Source organism: Homo sapiens, chromosome 2 (assembly GCF_000001405.40).
Source record: "Homo sapiens chromosome 2, GRCh38.p14 Primary Assembly".
In the NCBI taxonomy this organism is placed as follows: Eukaryota; Metazoa; Chordata; class Mammalia; order Primates; family Hominidae; genus Homo; species Homo sapiens.
In genome coordinates, this window is record NC_000002.12 from 114,824,878 (window position 1) to 114,841,116 (window position 16,239).

Below are 16,239 nucleotides of genomic sequence, written 5' to 3' on the forward strand. Positions count from 1 at the left end.
ATACTGTTGTAGGTAAAGGAGACACATGCTCCAATAATAAGATGAAACCCTGGTAACCCTGGAGTGGCATCCTCTAGCAAACAGGAGAGTAGGCTTTGGTTTGATTCACTCAACAAGTGCTCATTGAGAATCTTCTCCGTGCAGTTAACTCAATGCTGTGGAAGGTATAAAGCTATCATAATATCAGCTGTAGACAAATGAAAAGGAATGCAGTTATCAAGAACTTCAGAGAAGTGCACTTTTTGCTGAGAGCTTTGGTAACCTCATCTGTCAGTGTAAAATCAATCAGGGATCTTCCCTGTAGGCTCCGAGAGTGACTATATATTTCTCCCTTCAAAATGTTTTATCCAAGATAATTAGTTTAACATTTAATATCTGGGACTTCCTCACAGGAGGAAAATGTCATGAAAGAGGAAAGCATTGGAATCTAGAAAGTGATAATATAAAAGTTGAAAGAGGCATATTTAGTCTGCTTTGCCTTTGAGAGGAATTGTATGCCTGTTGAGTTCTATTTCTTTTACCTTCATGTGCTGGCTGGCTGAGTCACTGGGCAACTGGGACCCAGGGTGTCCACCTGACCAGGTATAATTTCAATCATGCATACAGTTGTCCCAGGATTTTCTTGGGTTATAGAATATTTTCTAAACATAAAGAAGCTATCTCTCTTGCTTCTCTCCCGAAGAATTACTTTCTTATCAGCTTAGGCATAAACCGAAAGGATGCTCAATTATATGTGCATAAAATAATGATTCATTGAAGCATTCTATGAATTTTATGTTCCCCCCCAACTCCAAACACAGACCCAGAATTTGAGATAAAGAGACATATGCAATTTAATATTATTTAATGCGTGACGAGTCTGATGGAATAGATATTCAACTCAGTGACCTTGAAGTATAGAGTGGCTAGTATGAACAGTTTGCATGCTACACTGTATAGCCTAAATAACAGAGGGCATAATAAAGTAAAAACTGTAAGGTTGTGATCAGCTTCTACTGGTGAGGGAGAGAGATGATTAATGGTGTAACGAAGAAATTATCATGGTGTTTCTATTTTCTACAAAGCTGTTTTCAGCTTCAAATTAGAAGTTACTCTTTTTGCCAAAAAGAGTGGGGTATAAACCACATTCCAATTGCTGCAATAATTCTGACAAACTCAAAGGCAGATAGCAAAGCATCTGGAAATGGGCAGATCAAAATGTTGTCTTGAAAAATAGAAAAACAACCTTTCCAATGGAAAAATACCTGGTTTGTAGCATTTTGCAGCATATGTAATGTATAGAGTAAAATGTATGCCCTGGGTAGCTAAGAAGAGAATAAAAATGAATTAGGAGAACCTAAATAATAAAATAATGTTGTTTTCATAATTATATATAATGGGAACAATTTATTTACTGACTTCACTGAAACATGATGTTTCAGAGCTTTTAATCGGCTTGTGAAATGTTAGAATTATTTCTGTCTCAAAATATGTAAAAGTATGGTGGAGGAGAAATAGTAATACCTTTTCCTCACCCAGGGACCTATGGAAAAGGTCATGCCTGACACCTCTAATCCAAAAGATAGACTGGCAAATTAAAAGCATAAAAAGTTTATTTATCAAAATTTCATGTGGCATGGGAGCTTTTGGAATTAAAGTTGCAAAGGGCCAGAGAAAATTTTTTATTTTTTTTGAGATGGAGTCTCCTCTGTCACCCAGGCTAGCGTGCAATGTCATGACCTCAGCTCCCTGCAACCTCCGCCTCCCAGGTTCAAGTGATTCTTCTGCCTCAGCCTCCCAGCTAGCTGGGATTACAGGAGCATAACCCCATGCCTGGCTAATTTTTGTATTTTTAGTAGAGATGGGGTTCACCATATTGGCCAGGCTGGTCCCATCCTCTTGGCCTTGTGATCTGCCTGCCTCGGCCTCCCAAAGTGCTGGGATTACAGGCGTGAGCCACCGTGCTGGGCCAAGAAGACTATTTTTATTGCTAAGTCTGATGAAAGAAATGGATAGTTGTAGAGAAACATGATTGGATAACAGGAGTATGATCTAATGGTAATGAACTGGAGACAACTTCGCAAGGCCAGATTCTTCTCTGTGTTTCTGTAAGCCATTCATTGCCCCTGGGTATCAGGAAGCACATCTGTCACATGAGGATCTGGGAGGTGGTGAACGTCAGAGAGTGATTTTTCTAGGTTTTATGGCTTGTTTGGGGGTCAGGAGGGGGCGATTTCTCATTCCTGTGACCTGCTTGGGGGAGAAAAGGATGTTAAGTTCTCTTATGGGAGTTTGCAGATACTGTTTTGACTCTGAATATAGAGACTTTATAACTAAGCCATGGTCCTCAAATCAAAAGTAATCCGTATGTGGTAATCTGGAGAGGTGTGTAATAATTATTCTTGTAGATTCAGACCATCCTAACCATAATCAATGCTGGGCAGGTAATAGGAGATGTTTTATGGCAAATGATTCAGTCAATGTTCCAATTATTGAAGCTCTATGTAGGAGAAAGACAACTGTAGATACTGGTTTGTCTATAGATCCATTGAAAAAAACTGGGGTACTGACTTGTTGACCATGACTCATGGGGACAAGACCACAACTGCAGCTTAGTATCTAATTATGGCCATAAGCCACCAACTACTTAATAATTGTCTATATCTAGTAAATATGGCATATATGTTTACGGTATATACCTGGACTCCTAGTATTCTCTTTGAGCCACTTTTTTGATTTATTAATTGTTACTTGCTTTGTGTGTGTGTGTGTTTGTGTGTGCATGCATGTGTGTGTGCATGTACAAGTGTTTAATCCATTAGTCTCTTAGCATATAAAAATGTTTTTCTTGTAAAAAGATGCCTACCTATTTAGCCTGTGCAGTGGAGGAAGCTGGGGGAGGTAGATCAAGTACAACTGAGAATTTTGTGAGGATTCAAAGGCTCAACATTTTTACTTCCTTGTGAGCCTTTCTGCCTTGCAAAGGTCAACACACTCACGTCTCTTCCCCCTCCAGCAATAGTGTTTTCAGATATGAGCAAAATATTTTACCTCAAGTTTCACCATTTTCTTTTTTTACAATAACAGAAAGCAGATTTTTATTCAGAGTACACTTACAGTGGCTTTGTTTTTCTTGCTTTGTAGAAAAAAACAGCATTTATTTATTTATTCATTTTGTTGTTGTCAGAGTCAAAATGTAAATTTCTTCTTCCATTTACTTTGACATTGCACTGTATATGTACTATTTTTGAAAAGAGTGGCATATTCTGTGAACAGGTCTTTCAGAGACAAAGGAAATAAAACATGGAGAACAATGCAAGTTTCATCCTCTGATAATGGGTAGATGGTCTACGGCCATACCACCCTGAACACTCCCCGTCTCGTCTGATAATGGGTAGATGTTCTCAAAAGGCAAAGTATATGAAAAACTTTAATGTAAGAAGAACATAACATAACTTTTATATACAATTATATAATTCAACATAACGTTAATCATCATTTTATTAGCACTTTTTTATCATTGTTAGATATAGAAACATAGATGCATTAATATATACATAAACATGACATATTTCTACATGCACACAAATATGGAGTTAACGTTTATTTAGAATCTACTAATATGCTTGTGGTAGAACTACAAAGATGAATTATATGAAAATCTTATAGTTTAGATGGAGGTAACTTAAACTACACATAAAATTCCTGGAATAGCGCCTTCCATGAACAAGGCACTCAAGGAAAATTTGTGCAATAAATGAATACATAAAACAACACAAGTACAAAGCAGCATGTGCTGTTTGGTAAGCTAAAATGCACCAGAAGGTTCAAGAGTTAAAAGACATAGAAGAAGCCTGAAGGCAATGAAACTATTGATGTATTTGCAGAGAAGTTAGTCATTGAAGTGTCCAAGCAGGCAGGTGCACATGCACTGGGATGCAGCTATGCAGGTTGGAGGAGGCAGGCTCCGCAGATAGGGAGAGAAGAAAGCGGTGTATCTGATTTTCTTTTCTTTTCTGTTTTTGGAGAGAGATATTGAAAATGAATAAACAGTCCAGGGCATAGAAAAGTTTGTGCAATAGGGGAAAATAAAGTAAATTCAAGGGAAAATAATAGTCTAAGGTCTCCTATAAAAATAGTCTAGTTACTAGGCCAGGTGCGGTGGCTCAGGCCTGTAATCCCAGCATTTTGGGAGACCGAGGAGAGTGGATCACGAGGTCAGGAGTTCAAGACCACCCTGGCCAAGATGGTGAAACCCCATCTCTACTAAAAAACTACAAAAATTAGCCAGGCACTGTAGCAGGCAACTGTAATCTCAGCTACTCGGGAGGCTGAAGAAGGAGAACTGCTTGAACCGGGGGCAGCAGAGGTAGCAGTGAGCCAAGATCGAGCCACTGCACTCCAGCCTGGGCGACAGAGTGAGACTCCATCTCAAAAATAAATAAATAAATAAATATAAATAGACTAGTTACTGATGAGTATAGCTATTTACAAAGGGACACATAAGACGTTTTTGTCTTTTTTTTTTTTAATTTTTTTTTTTTGAGACAGAGTGTCGCTCTTGTCACCCAGGCTGGAGTGCAATGGCAAGACCTCGGCTCACTGCAACCTCCGCCTCCCAGGTTCAAGCAATTCTCCCGCCTAAGCCTCACAGGCGCCTGCCACTACACTCAGCTAATTTTTTTTTTTTTTGTATTTTTGGTAGAGATGGGTTTTCGCCATGTTGGCCAGGCTGGTCTCGAATGCCTGACCTCAGGTGGTCCTCCCGTCTCAGCCTCCCAAAGTGCTCGGATTACAGGCGTGAGCCACCGTGCCTGGCCGGACGTTTTTTTTTAAGAGAAGGACAGAAGTCAAGTTATGTATCTTCTTAAATAGGGAAATACATTTTACTTCCTCTACCATTATTACTATTTTTTCAAGGTTCCTAAAATAGTTGTCATTTTACATAACGTTTTCAAACATCTGTGACAGATCTTGAAAGCGTCACTATGCGTTTCCTTAAAAGAACACCCATTTCAGAACCCGTGTCGTCTCTTTTTCTTCCTTTTCCACTTCCACGTCCATGCGATCAAGTTGGGTTCAAGCTGCCGCTGCGGCCTGTCTTGAACCCACCCATTTTCCTCTAAGCTCTGCTGCCCTGGGCCTACTGACTCCTGTCCTCTCACTGTCCTTACTGCTGTCCTCTCCTGGGCTGATGGCCGAAAACGCCTCCCTCACGGGCTCCTCACCCTAAGTAGGTAGGTCTCTCCCACCTTCCATCTAATTTTCACAGTCCCATCAGAATTTTCTTTATAAAGGCTGGTATGGCTACCTAAGTTCCCGTTATTGCCCAGAAGATAATCCCAAACTGCCTAATATGGTATTGATAGCTCTCAAAATGGGGCCATCGAGTACCCCCCTTACACTATCTCCCATTCGTTTATCCCATCTACACCGAGATTCAGTCAACCTGCTTTGCTTTTCCCAAATAGTCAAAGATGACGCATGTTTCCCATCCTCTGTTCTGTGCTGTTCATTCAAGTTTTTTCCTTGCCTGGAGTATCCTCCTTTCTTTCTTTTAGTCAGAAAAGTTCTATTCACATTTCAAGATCCATAAAATGTCACGTTCTGTTTACTCACTTATTGTAAAAACGTGTACTCTCTTAACTTCGCCTTTCTATTTATACACAACTTACATGTACGTAAATGTGCCTTCTCCCCTCCCCGTTACACCCAGCACACATATTGCCTAGCACACAGTAGGTTCATAAGAACTGTTGAATGAAATTTTCAAATCGAAGCAGATATAACAACCTCTTATTTTTTTTAAAACCACTTTTGTCAATTTATTCAGCCTAATGAATATTTTTCTATATATCTGCCATATGTATAGAAAAGTTTATACATAGTTTCTTTATCAGGCCTAACAGAATAACTTTTACTGTATTAAATAGTAACTTACTCAACTTGTCAAACTGGAGAGGCAATTGATTTGAGTATTAGGTCTTTACATTGCATCAACCAAGTTGATTAGTCATTTTTAAATTTATCATTAGTTAACATTAAAAAAAAAGTTAAAAACAAGCATTGCTCAAGCCCCCTTGTTTCGTGTTTGGCACACTGCATAGCTTTTAATAAAAAGTTATTTTTCAACCTGCAGTGGAATATTTAAACATCCATGCAAAGATTTTTTTTTTTTTTTTTTTTTTTTTTTTTTTTTTTTGCTAAATTTTCAAAGAACATCAGAAATGTTGTATTAAAAAACAGATGATGGGGCAGTAAAGACTTTTTTATTTGGTAGTAGAAACATATGGGGAAATAAAATGTATTAATGTTGTAATTATAACATTCCAATGTTTCTGCTTTCTCAAGTTTTTATACTAAAAATCTTTCAATAGAACATAACTTTAAAGATAGTTTTCTTTATACTAGGTTCATGCATTTGTGTCCCATATTTCACCATAAGGGATATTTGTAATATATTTCTGGAATGGGAAATGGGTCAACTATCTAGCTGTCCAGTATTTCACATTTATGAACAGAACCCCCAAACTGAAAATTAGCCTTGGGTGTTTCATAACTTAGGACCAACTCAGAAATGTAGGCTTTGGAAAGCAAATAACTGTGATCCAATTTTCGGGAAGCAGGTTTGTCTTTTATGGCAAAGAAGAGTGATCCCAGTTTTAATTACAGGCATTGAGTGTCCCTAGCCAAAACTCAGTCTGAGGTGTTTCAGCATGGAAGATCATTTGGGAAAGCTGGGTTTGCAGAAAGCACGAGCAATAAAGACATAACATATAAACAGATATTCTGCACGTAGTTTGCAAAATCTTAACCTCATCAAAAGAAGAGATCAAAATTCTATTTAATGCAATTGGAGATTAAGTTGCAGAGTACAATTTAACTGAAATACAGTACCACATTCATACTTCAAATGGTTTATCAAAAGAAAGACTAAAAAAGACTGGTTATGTGTCTATATAAGGTTTGCTCTTCTCTTTCTCTCTCTTTAATTAAAAAAAATATATATATATATAATATATATGTATATATATAACCAAGGCAAAAAGTAAGAGGTTGATGCTCTCTGTCCAAACCTCTCTTCTCTCTCTTTTTTTAAATATGTGCTTAATATATTCCTATCTTCCCAATATTTTAATTAAGAACAATGTTTGCACACATTTAAATGAGTGACATCTTTGCTTAAATTTGTTTTTGACTAATTATTTTCCACGTGTTTTCACCTTCCAACACTACCTTAGTCCTAAGTTATGAAATACTCAATGCTCTTCATAAAATATCTTGAAATAACTTTTTATTTCAAAATTAAAATTAAATCACATAAAAGTATGTTCTTAAATAGACTATAGTTTTCTTAGATCTTGTTGAGATTAAAAACAAGTGTGATCTGGCCCTGGCCGGGGGTGGTGGCTCACGCCTGTAATCCCAGCACTTTTGGAGGCCGAGGCAGGTGGATCAGGAGGTCAGGAGATCGAGACCATCCTGGCTAACACGGTGAAACACCGCCTCTACTAAAAACTACAAAAAAATTAGCCGGGCGTGTTGGTGGGTTCCTGTAGTCCCAGCTACTCAGGAGGCTGAGGCAGGAGAAATGCTTGAATCCAAGAGTTCGAGGTTGCAGTGAGCCGAGATCGCACCACTCCACTCCAGCCTGGCGACAGAGCGAGACTCCGTCTCAAAATAAATAAATAAATAAATGAATAAATAAACAAATTACCTTTAACTTAGTATGACCATTTTGGATTGCTGTAAAATATTCCATAAAATAGTAAGAGCCTTCAAATGTAACTTAGAGTAAATGGGCAAATATTATTTTTCCTATTTACAGAGATATCTAATAGCCCAAACAAATATTTGAAATCAAAGTTATATTTGAATGCATTTCTGAATAGATGAAGGGATAAACAGATAGTAATATAAAGGAGTTCTGCAATGCTATGTCTATAGACCTCATGCCAAAAATGGGGACATGAGTCAAGTCTACCTAACATGTTTCTATTTTCTAAAAAAAAAAATTTAAGTACTTTAAATGCTTATGCTTTGAATAAGAATAATTGCCATTTCAAAAAATGTAACTAAATATGTATGCATGCATCTGTGTGTATACAGAGACAAGCAGTGATTTATAATTTTGAGAAATACGATATTCTGATTCTGATTAAAATAGCTAAAATTCACAAATTCAAAGTTGTGAAACTAAAAAAGAAATTTTTTTAGACTTGTGGATTAAAATCTTGGCATTCTACTCATTTAACTGTATTTATCTATGGCATTTTCATTTGGCATAATTTTCATATATTTTGTAATAATATCACATTGGCTGCATAATATGAAGTCCCTTGAAAGAAACTAGATTTCAATTCTGTGGAAGAAATAATTTATGATGTAAGAGTTGTGATTATACAGCCAATATGAGTTAATTCTTTAAAAAAAAAAACTAAATTGATCAAGCAAAAAAATGTACTCACTTGTTTGAGAATGTCAATCATTTTCAATTAAATTATCTAGATGTTTCCCAGGTTTCAGCTGATATATTTTTCTTAGGAAATAATATTTTATCTCATTAAATTATTTCTCTTGAATACAAAAAATCTTTATTTAGCCATCAGACCAAAAATAAATAAATAAATAGGGACAGCTCAGAAGGAGTGAGCATAGTTCTTTCTCTTCCAAACATACAGGTGGAACGTATAGTGCTAACAGGGAATATTCTGTGACATCATAATTTTGGGCACTGAATTTTGATTGCAGTGTGTTCTTCAGAGTCAGGCACCTCCAAGTCTGCCTCTTAATACTGCCAGCTGATGCCTCTAAGCCTCAGTTTTCACATCAGCCAATGTGACCACTATTACATACGTCATTGTGCTACTGTCAGGATGACATAAAGATGCTGCATAGAACACGTTTAGCCCAAAGCCTGGCACGTGATAAGAATACAATAAACTATACCTATAGTCAGGGCAACAGAAAGACAAGAATTGATATGGTCAAAATCATAAACCCTCTTTTTGTCCTACGGAAGGCACAGGCAAGAATTTGGATGACACATGGTGGTGCTTCTGCCCTTACTAGTGACCTAAAACCAATCTGCCAAAGTATAATGATTGAGTTTTGCAGAACTGTTGCTAAGAGATATATAGGTGTATATGTACATGTATACGTATATAAACATATACACACACCTATGTATATATAAGCCATATCTACACACCTATGTATATATAAGCCATATCTACGCACCTATGTATATATAAGCCATATCTACGCACCTATGTATATATAAGCCATATCTACGCACCTATGTATATATAAGCCATATCTACACACCTATGTATATATAAGCCATATCTACACACCTATGTATATATATAGGCCATATCTACACACCTATGTATATATAAGACATATCTACACACCTATGTATATATAAGCCATGTCTACACACCTATGTATATATAAGCCATGTCTACACACCTATGTATATAAAAGACATGTCTACACACCTATGTATATAAAAGACATATCTACACACCTATGTATATATAAGCCATATCTACACACCTATGTATATATAAGCCATATCTACACACCTATGTACATATCAGCCATATCTACACACCTATGTATATATAAGCCATATCTACGCACCTATGTATATATAAGACATATCTACGCACCTATGTATATATAAGCCATATCTACGCACCTATGTATATATAAGCCATATCTACGCACCTATGTATATATAAGCCATATCTAAGCACCTATGTATATATAAGCCATATCTACACACCTATGTATATATATAGGCCATATCTACACACCTATGTATATATAAGACATATCTACACACCTATGTATATATAAGCCATGTCTACGCACCTATGTATATATAAGCCATGTCTACGCACCTATGTATATATAAGCCATGTCTACACACCTATGTATATATAAGCCATGTCTACACACCTATGTATATATAAGCCATGTCTACACACCTATGTATATAAAAGACATATCTACACAACTATGTATATATAAGCCATATCTACACACCTATGTATATATAAGCCATATCTACACACCTATGTATATATAAGCCATATCTACACACCTATGTATATAAAAGACATATCTACACACCTATGTATATAAAAGACATATCTACACACCTATGTACATATCAGCCATATCTACACACCTATGTATATATAAGCCATATCTACACACCTATGTATATATAAGCCATATCTACACACCTATGTATATATAAGACATATCTACACACCTATGTATATATAAGCCATATCTACACACCTATGTATATATAGGACATATCTACATACCTATGTATATATAGGACATATCTACACACCTATGTGTATATAGGACATATCTACACACCTATGTATATATATAGGCCATATCTACACACCTATGTATATATAAGACATATCTACACACCTATGTATATATAAGCCATATCTACACACCTATGTATATATAAGACATATCTACACACCTATTTATATATAAGCCATATTTACACACCTATGTATATATAAGACATATCTACACACCTATGTATATATAAGACATATACCCACAGCGATTTTCTATCACGTTCGTTTTTAATCAAATAATATTAGTCAAAAATAAATACGTGTTTGTTTTATTATTCCTTTGCTTAGTTCCTGCCAGTACTAGCTGGCTTTTCTAGTGGAAGGCTGATCACTTTTTCCATAAATCCATTTAATCCAATCAGTCTTGGCAGGATTGAGACATGTTCTCAGTGGAGGTCAAGATCTTGTTTCCTGGTCACTAAGAGCATGGGATAATAGTAAACTCCAGAACCATTTGTAAAATACTGTCAGTCAGACAAATCCAAATACCTGTCATGTGCCCAGTAAGTTATTGAACTTTAAGAGAATAAAGTATGACCCTTATTATTGTGTTTCTAATCTTCTCAGAAAGGGAAAAAAGACTATATATAATTAGTGCTCAGCTGTACAATTCAGCATATAAGTAGAAATTATTTCACTATGAAATCAGATAATTGAGACAAAATTTTAGATTGAGTGAGTAATAATAGCCTTATCTTCTTTTGCCCTTTATCCTCTTCCCACATTTAAACTAGGAAGAGAAATGAAACAAGTCACCTGTGGATGTTATTGGAGAGTATTGGATATGATTCTTTGCTCTTACCTGGTGCTCTTTCACCCCACCCCTAACTTTCTCCTTAACTCTCTGGCAATTCCATGCAAGGCCACCTAAAATACCCCTTTCTCAATAAAGATTTTCCTGAATTCCCACCTAAAAATAATTTCTTCCTTCTCTGCCTTTCATAGCACTTTATGTGTGCTGCTCCATTTGTGACCCATGTGTATTCTGTTTTAGTTATTTATCAGGGGAAATTCAGCCAGATATCGGGCAAAATTCACCCTCGATATTTCATGTAGGTTCTTTTCTGTTTTCCCTAAGCATTGGCCAGTTTGGGAAATAAAGGGACAGAGTACAAAAGAGAGAAATTTTAAAGCTGGGCTTCCGGGGGAGAAATCACATTTCGGGAGGTTCTGTGATGCCCCACAAGCCGCAAAACCAGCAAGTTTTTATTAGTGATTTTCAAAGGGGAGGGAGTGTACGAATAGCGTGTGGGTCACAAGAGATCACGTGGTTCACAAGGTAATAGAATATCACTAGGAAAATGGAGGCAGGGCGAGATCACAGGACCACAGGACTGGGGCGAAATTTAAATTGCTAATGAAGTTTCGGGCACCCATTGTCATTGATAACTTCTTATCAGGGGACAGGGTTTGAGAGCAGACAACCGGTCTGACCAAAAATGTATTAGGCGGGAATTTCCTCGTCCTAATAAACCTGTGAGCACTATGGGAGACTGGGGCTTATTTCATCCCTACAGCTCCATAAAAGATGGCCGCACCCAAGGGGGCCAATTTAGAGACCCACCTCAGTGATGCATTCTCTTTCTCAAGGATGTTCCTTGCTGAGAAAAATAATTCAGTGATATTTCTCCCATTTGCTTTTGAAAGAAGAGAAATATGGCTCTGTTCCACCCGGTCACTGGTGGTCAGAGTTTAAGGTTATCTCTCTTGTTCCCTGAACATTGCTGTTATCCTGTTCTTTTTTCAAGGTGCCCAGATTTCATATTGTTCAAACACACATGCTCTAAAATTTGTGGAGTTAATGCAATCATCACAGGGTCATGAGGTGACATACATCCTCCTCAGTTTACAAGATGACAGGATTAAGAGATTAAAGTAAAGACAGGCATAGGAAATCACAAGGGTATTGATTGGGGAAGTGATAAGTGTCCATGAAATCTTCACAATCTATGTTCAGAGATTGCAGTAAAGACAGGCATAAGAAATTATAAAAGTATTAATTTGGGGAACTAATAAATGTACATGAAATCTTCACAATCCACGTTCTTCTGCCATGTCTTCAGCCGGTCCCTCCGTTCCGGGTCCCTGACTTCCCGCAACAGCTATTTCATAATATTAGGGATTGTATGGCTATTCAGACGTCCTTCTTGAGGGCAGGCTCTTTATCTTTTCCTCACAACAGTTAGCAGTGTCATGGAGATAGCAAGTATTTTATAGAAAATATTGAGTGAGTCCATGAATACGTTTTAATTATTTGGGTACTTAAATGTAGAAGGTTAGTTGCTTTAACTGTGCTTATACAATGGAAACCCTGTTCTCTGTCAAAAAAAAAAATGTGAAGATCTTGAAAAATGTGGAGAAACTGGGGAGCAGCTAAGTGGCTCTGAACTAGTCAGATTAGGCTCATCTATGCTGTAGTAACAAACAAGCCCCTAAACCTCAATGGCAATTGATATTTATTTCTCATGTGATCTGCCTCACAAATCATTGCAGGAAATAATGTTACCAATGTTTTGGCTCTTCATAAAACATTCATTATTTTCTCTGTCTTTTATATAGTTTTCTCACCCACCTCTGCTCAGCCCCTGTGACAATGTCCATCTATTGCAGGTGGTGGATACAACAGCAGCCCACTTATGGTATCAGTTTATGTTTCAGTCAGAGTAGAATAAGCTATGCTGTGGAAGAAAATAAATGCTAAAATTTCACTGGCATAACAAATTAATGGTTAATTTCTCAATCATGCAAGTCCAATGAAAGTGTACTAGGTGGCTTTTCTCCATCTTGTGGCTGTGCCATCTGAAGAATGTGACCTTAAGATCACCACACATGGAAGGAAAGACCTGAAGGACCATGTGAATAAAGGGCCAGATTGGTCTGTGGCCATATCACCTCCACTAAATCCATTGCCCTCAATCCAGTCACATGCATCCTAACCTCAAGGAAAACTGGAGAAGCACATGGATGGATACCTGGTGAGAACTAATAGCATATGCCACAGATTCTATAGTGGCATTAGAAGTTCACCTAATTCTTAAGTCTTGTTTTTATTTATTTTATTATTTATTTATTTTTTGAGATAGAGTCTTCCTCTGTCACCCAGGCTGGAGTGCAGTGTCACTTGGCTCACTGCAACTGCCACCTCCCGGATTTGAGCGACCCTCCCACCTCAGCCTTGGAGTACTTAGGATTACAGCTGTGAGCTACCACGCCTAGCTAATTTTTTTGGATTTTTAGTAGAGATGGGATTTCACCATGTTGGTAAAGTTGGTCTTGAACTTCTGACCTCGGTCTCCCAAAGTACTGGGATTACAGGTATGAGCCACTGTGCCCCGCCCTAATTTTTAAATTTCAAATTTTAAATTTTTAAATTTTAAAGTCTGATTTTTAAAATACCGAAAGGTATACCCTCCAATTTCTCCCTAGGAATATGCCCTGTGTTAGTCCAGAAGATGCTGAAGGCATATTTGAGGGGTTACCATGGGGGCATTCTTTCATCTGATCACTGCAGATTTCTCCTTAACTCTGTCATGTCTCATCAGTGTAGACTGACCCACACTTTTCCACACCATTTACCTCTCTGGATTGGATTGACTATTCTTTATCTCATTTTTAACCTCTCCTCATCTGTCTTCATGGAGATGTAGTTTTGTGTTTTAACATCTCTAAGAATATGTTTTGTTAATGTAAATTATATTTTACATATCCTCTGTACTCTATTTTATGTATCATATCCTCTGTTTTTTAATATTATGATGCATACTATAATGCCTCTTACATGATCTAATTATAGAATTTTGACAAGTACACTATTGAAAATCAGCCTCATAATTAACAGATATTACTTTATTTTGCTGCAATTAATTGTTGCCTGCTTTATCTTAGCAATTATTTCTTGGATGGCAGAATTGGATAATCTGTGTTGCCACATGGGAATATCTATGTAAATGGCAATTAAATACATCCTATTAAAGTATGGTGTGAAAGAGATAGATTTAAGTTGGGAAATAACTTCCCTGTGACCTTAGAGAGTTTCTGGATTGATCATCAGATAAGTCTACAACAGATGCCAAAGAAGGTAGTATCAGTTTAAGAGATTTCATTCAGCTAAACACATATAATAAGGAAGACTATTTCCAGGAGCTACTATGTACATTAAATTCTATTAGTGATCATCAACAAAATTTATTAACATAAAAATAATAAAGCCATCTGAAGAATAATTACTGCCTATTGGGAGAAAAAAATAGAACCATGAAGAAAATAAACTCTGCCAACTTAGTGATTTTCGTTAAGTAACCAAACATTTCTACTTTGTGTCTTCCAAGGAAATTCTTTCACTTATCAAGTGTTATACATATTCTTTGTTCTAAAACTGCTCTATTCAGCTGTCATTCTATGATTTTGTTTTCAAGGTTGCCCCTTCTCTTCTTACTCATTTTAATTCTTTTCTCTTTGTACTTAGATTAAAATAAAGTCAATTTTAGGACTGTGAGGTAAGAAAGGAAGAATTTGAAAGATGCAACGTCCTTGTTTATAGTAGATATTTCAAAGAAAAAATGTAAAATTCTCGTTAATCTAAGAAGACTCAGAGAATATACAAGATTTAAAGAACTATCTTTAATAAACTATTGGGTAGCATTGCACACTCAGGGCTTACAACTGAAAAAAGAATCTGGCAATTTTATGCATGAAAAAAGCAAGAGTAAACTAATGGTCTATATAGCATTTCAGGAGGTGGGACGGTTCTTTCCAGGTTCATGTAAAGCTGAATTGGGGTAATATCTCTCCCCTCCACAAACATCCCCACTGGGCCTTCACAAAGCCTGTGAAACAGCAAACAGTTGTTTTCCTAAGTAAATCAGTATGCAGTATCAATTTTAATGAAATCCTTTAAAAATATTTATAAGACATACTTTGTGAGCTGGCTCTTGAAAAGTGATTAGGGATTGAATATGTGGAGAGAAGATTTTTCATTTTGTTTTATGTTTTTGAAAACTAATGAGAACAATGTTTGAAAGGAAGAAGGAGTAAGGTCAGCAGAGTGGGAAGATAAGGCAACCCAAAACTCATCAAAGAGCTAAGCAAATGGAGGGCGAGGGGCATTCCGTTTGGCCTGTTCTCTTGGATAATTTATGAAGTTCAAGTCACAGAACTGGGAATAAACTCCCAAATTTTCAGGTTCTGTGACCCATTCGCTTTTCACTCTGCTCCTCTCCTGCGAACTAAAAAGACCTCGAATTTTAAAATATAATCAAAACCCCCCAAAACTTAAGAAAGTGTATTCTCCTTTCAGCCATTTAAAATAGGAAAACAATGAAAAGAAAGCCTCCCTTAAAATCTGAACATTCAAAGCTTTCAGTTAAATTTATAGATTTATTCAAGAAGAGTTGTCATTCTATTAAGTTAGAAGTTGACTGTTGTACTGCCTCCTCCAACTGTATTTGATTCCAGAAGTCACAGAGTATTTACACTTTGTGGTTCTTCTTTCTGTCGCTAATCCACATAAGAGAGATACGTATTGTCACTCTATTAAACAACTTATTTGTGGTTTGACTGTGATTTTCCCTGAACCTTATATGTGTTTCCTTTCATTATGGTTAGAATCTTGGGCAGATGGATTTTTTCTTATCCATCCCTGCCTCTGTTCCACAGGCACACAATATCATCCTTACATATGTAAATCACATTAAACTGGCAAGCTTCCCTACCAGACTGGACCCTGCAGGGAGCAGGGTATGTGCCATGCTTATTTCTGTGTCCCTCACTAAACCTAACACAGGATCACACAGTAGAGATTCAACAGAAATTTTTGAATATGTATTATGTTTTTTAAACCACATTGAATTTAAGTAAT

The 16,239-nt window shown here is 36.7% G+C and overlaps 1 protein-coding gene and 1 long non-coding RNA gene across 11 annotated transcripts in view; one reads left to right on the plus strand and one right to left on the minus strand.

The window, feature by feature from the left end:
* DPP10 (dipeptidyl peptidase like 10) overlaps positions 1-16,239 on the plus strand; it is a 1,403,140-nt gene that overhangs the window by 382,237 nt on the left and 1,004,664 nt on the right. The window lies entirely within an intron of this gene.
* On the minus strand, positions 3,464-8,671 carry DPP10-AS3 (DPP10 antisense RNA 3). The gene is made up of 2 exons (NR_132105.1): positions 8,448-8,671; positions 3,464-3,995 (listed from the first exon to the last, which is right to left on the minus strand). It is a non-coding gene; the product is annotated as a DPP10 antisense RNA 3 (long non-coding RNA).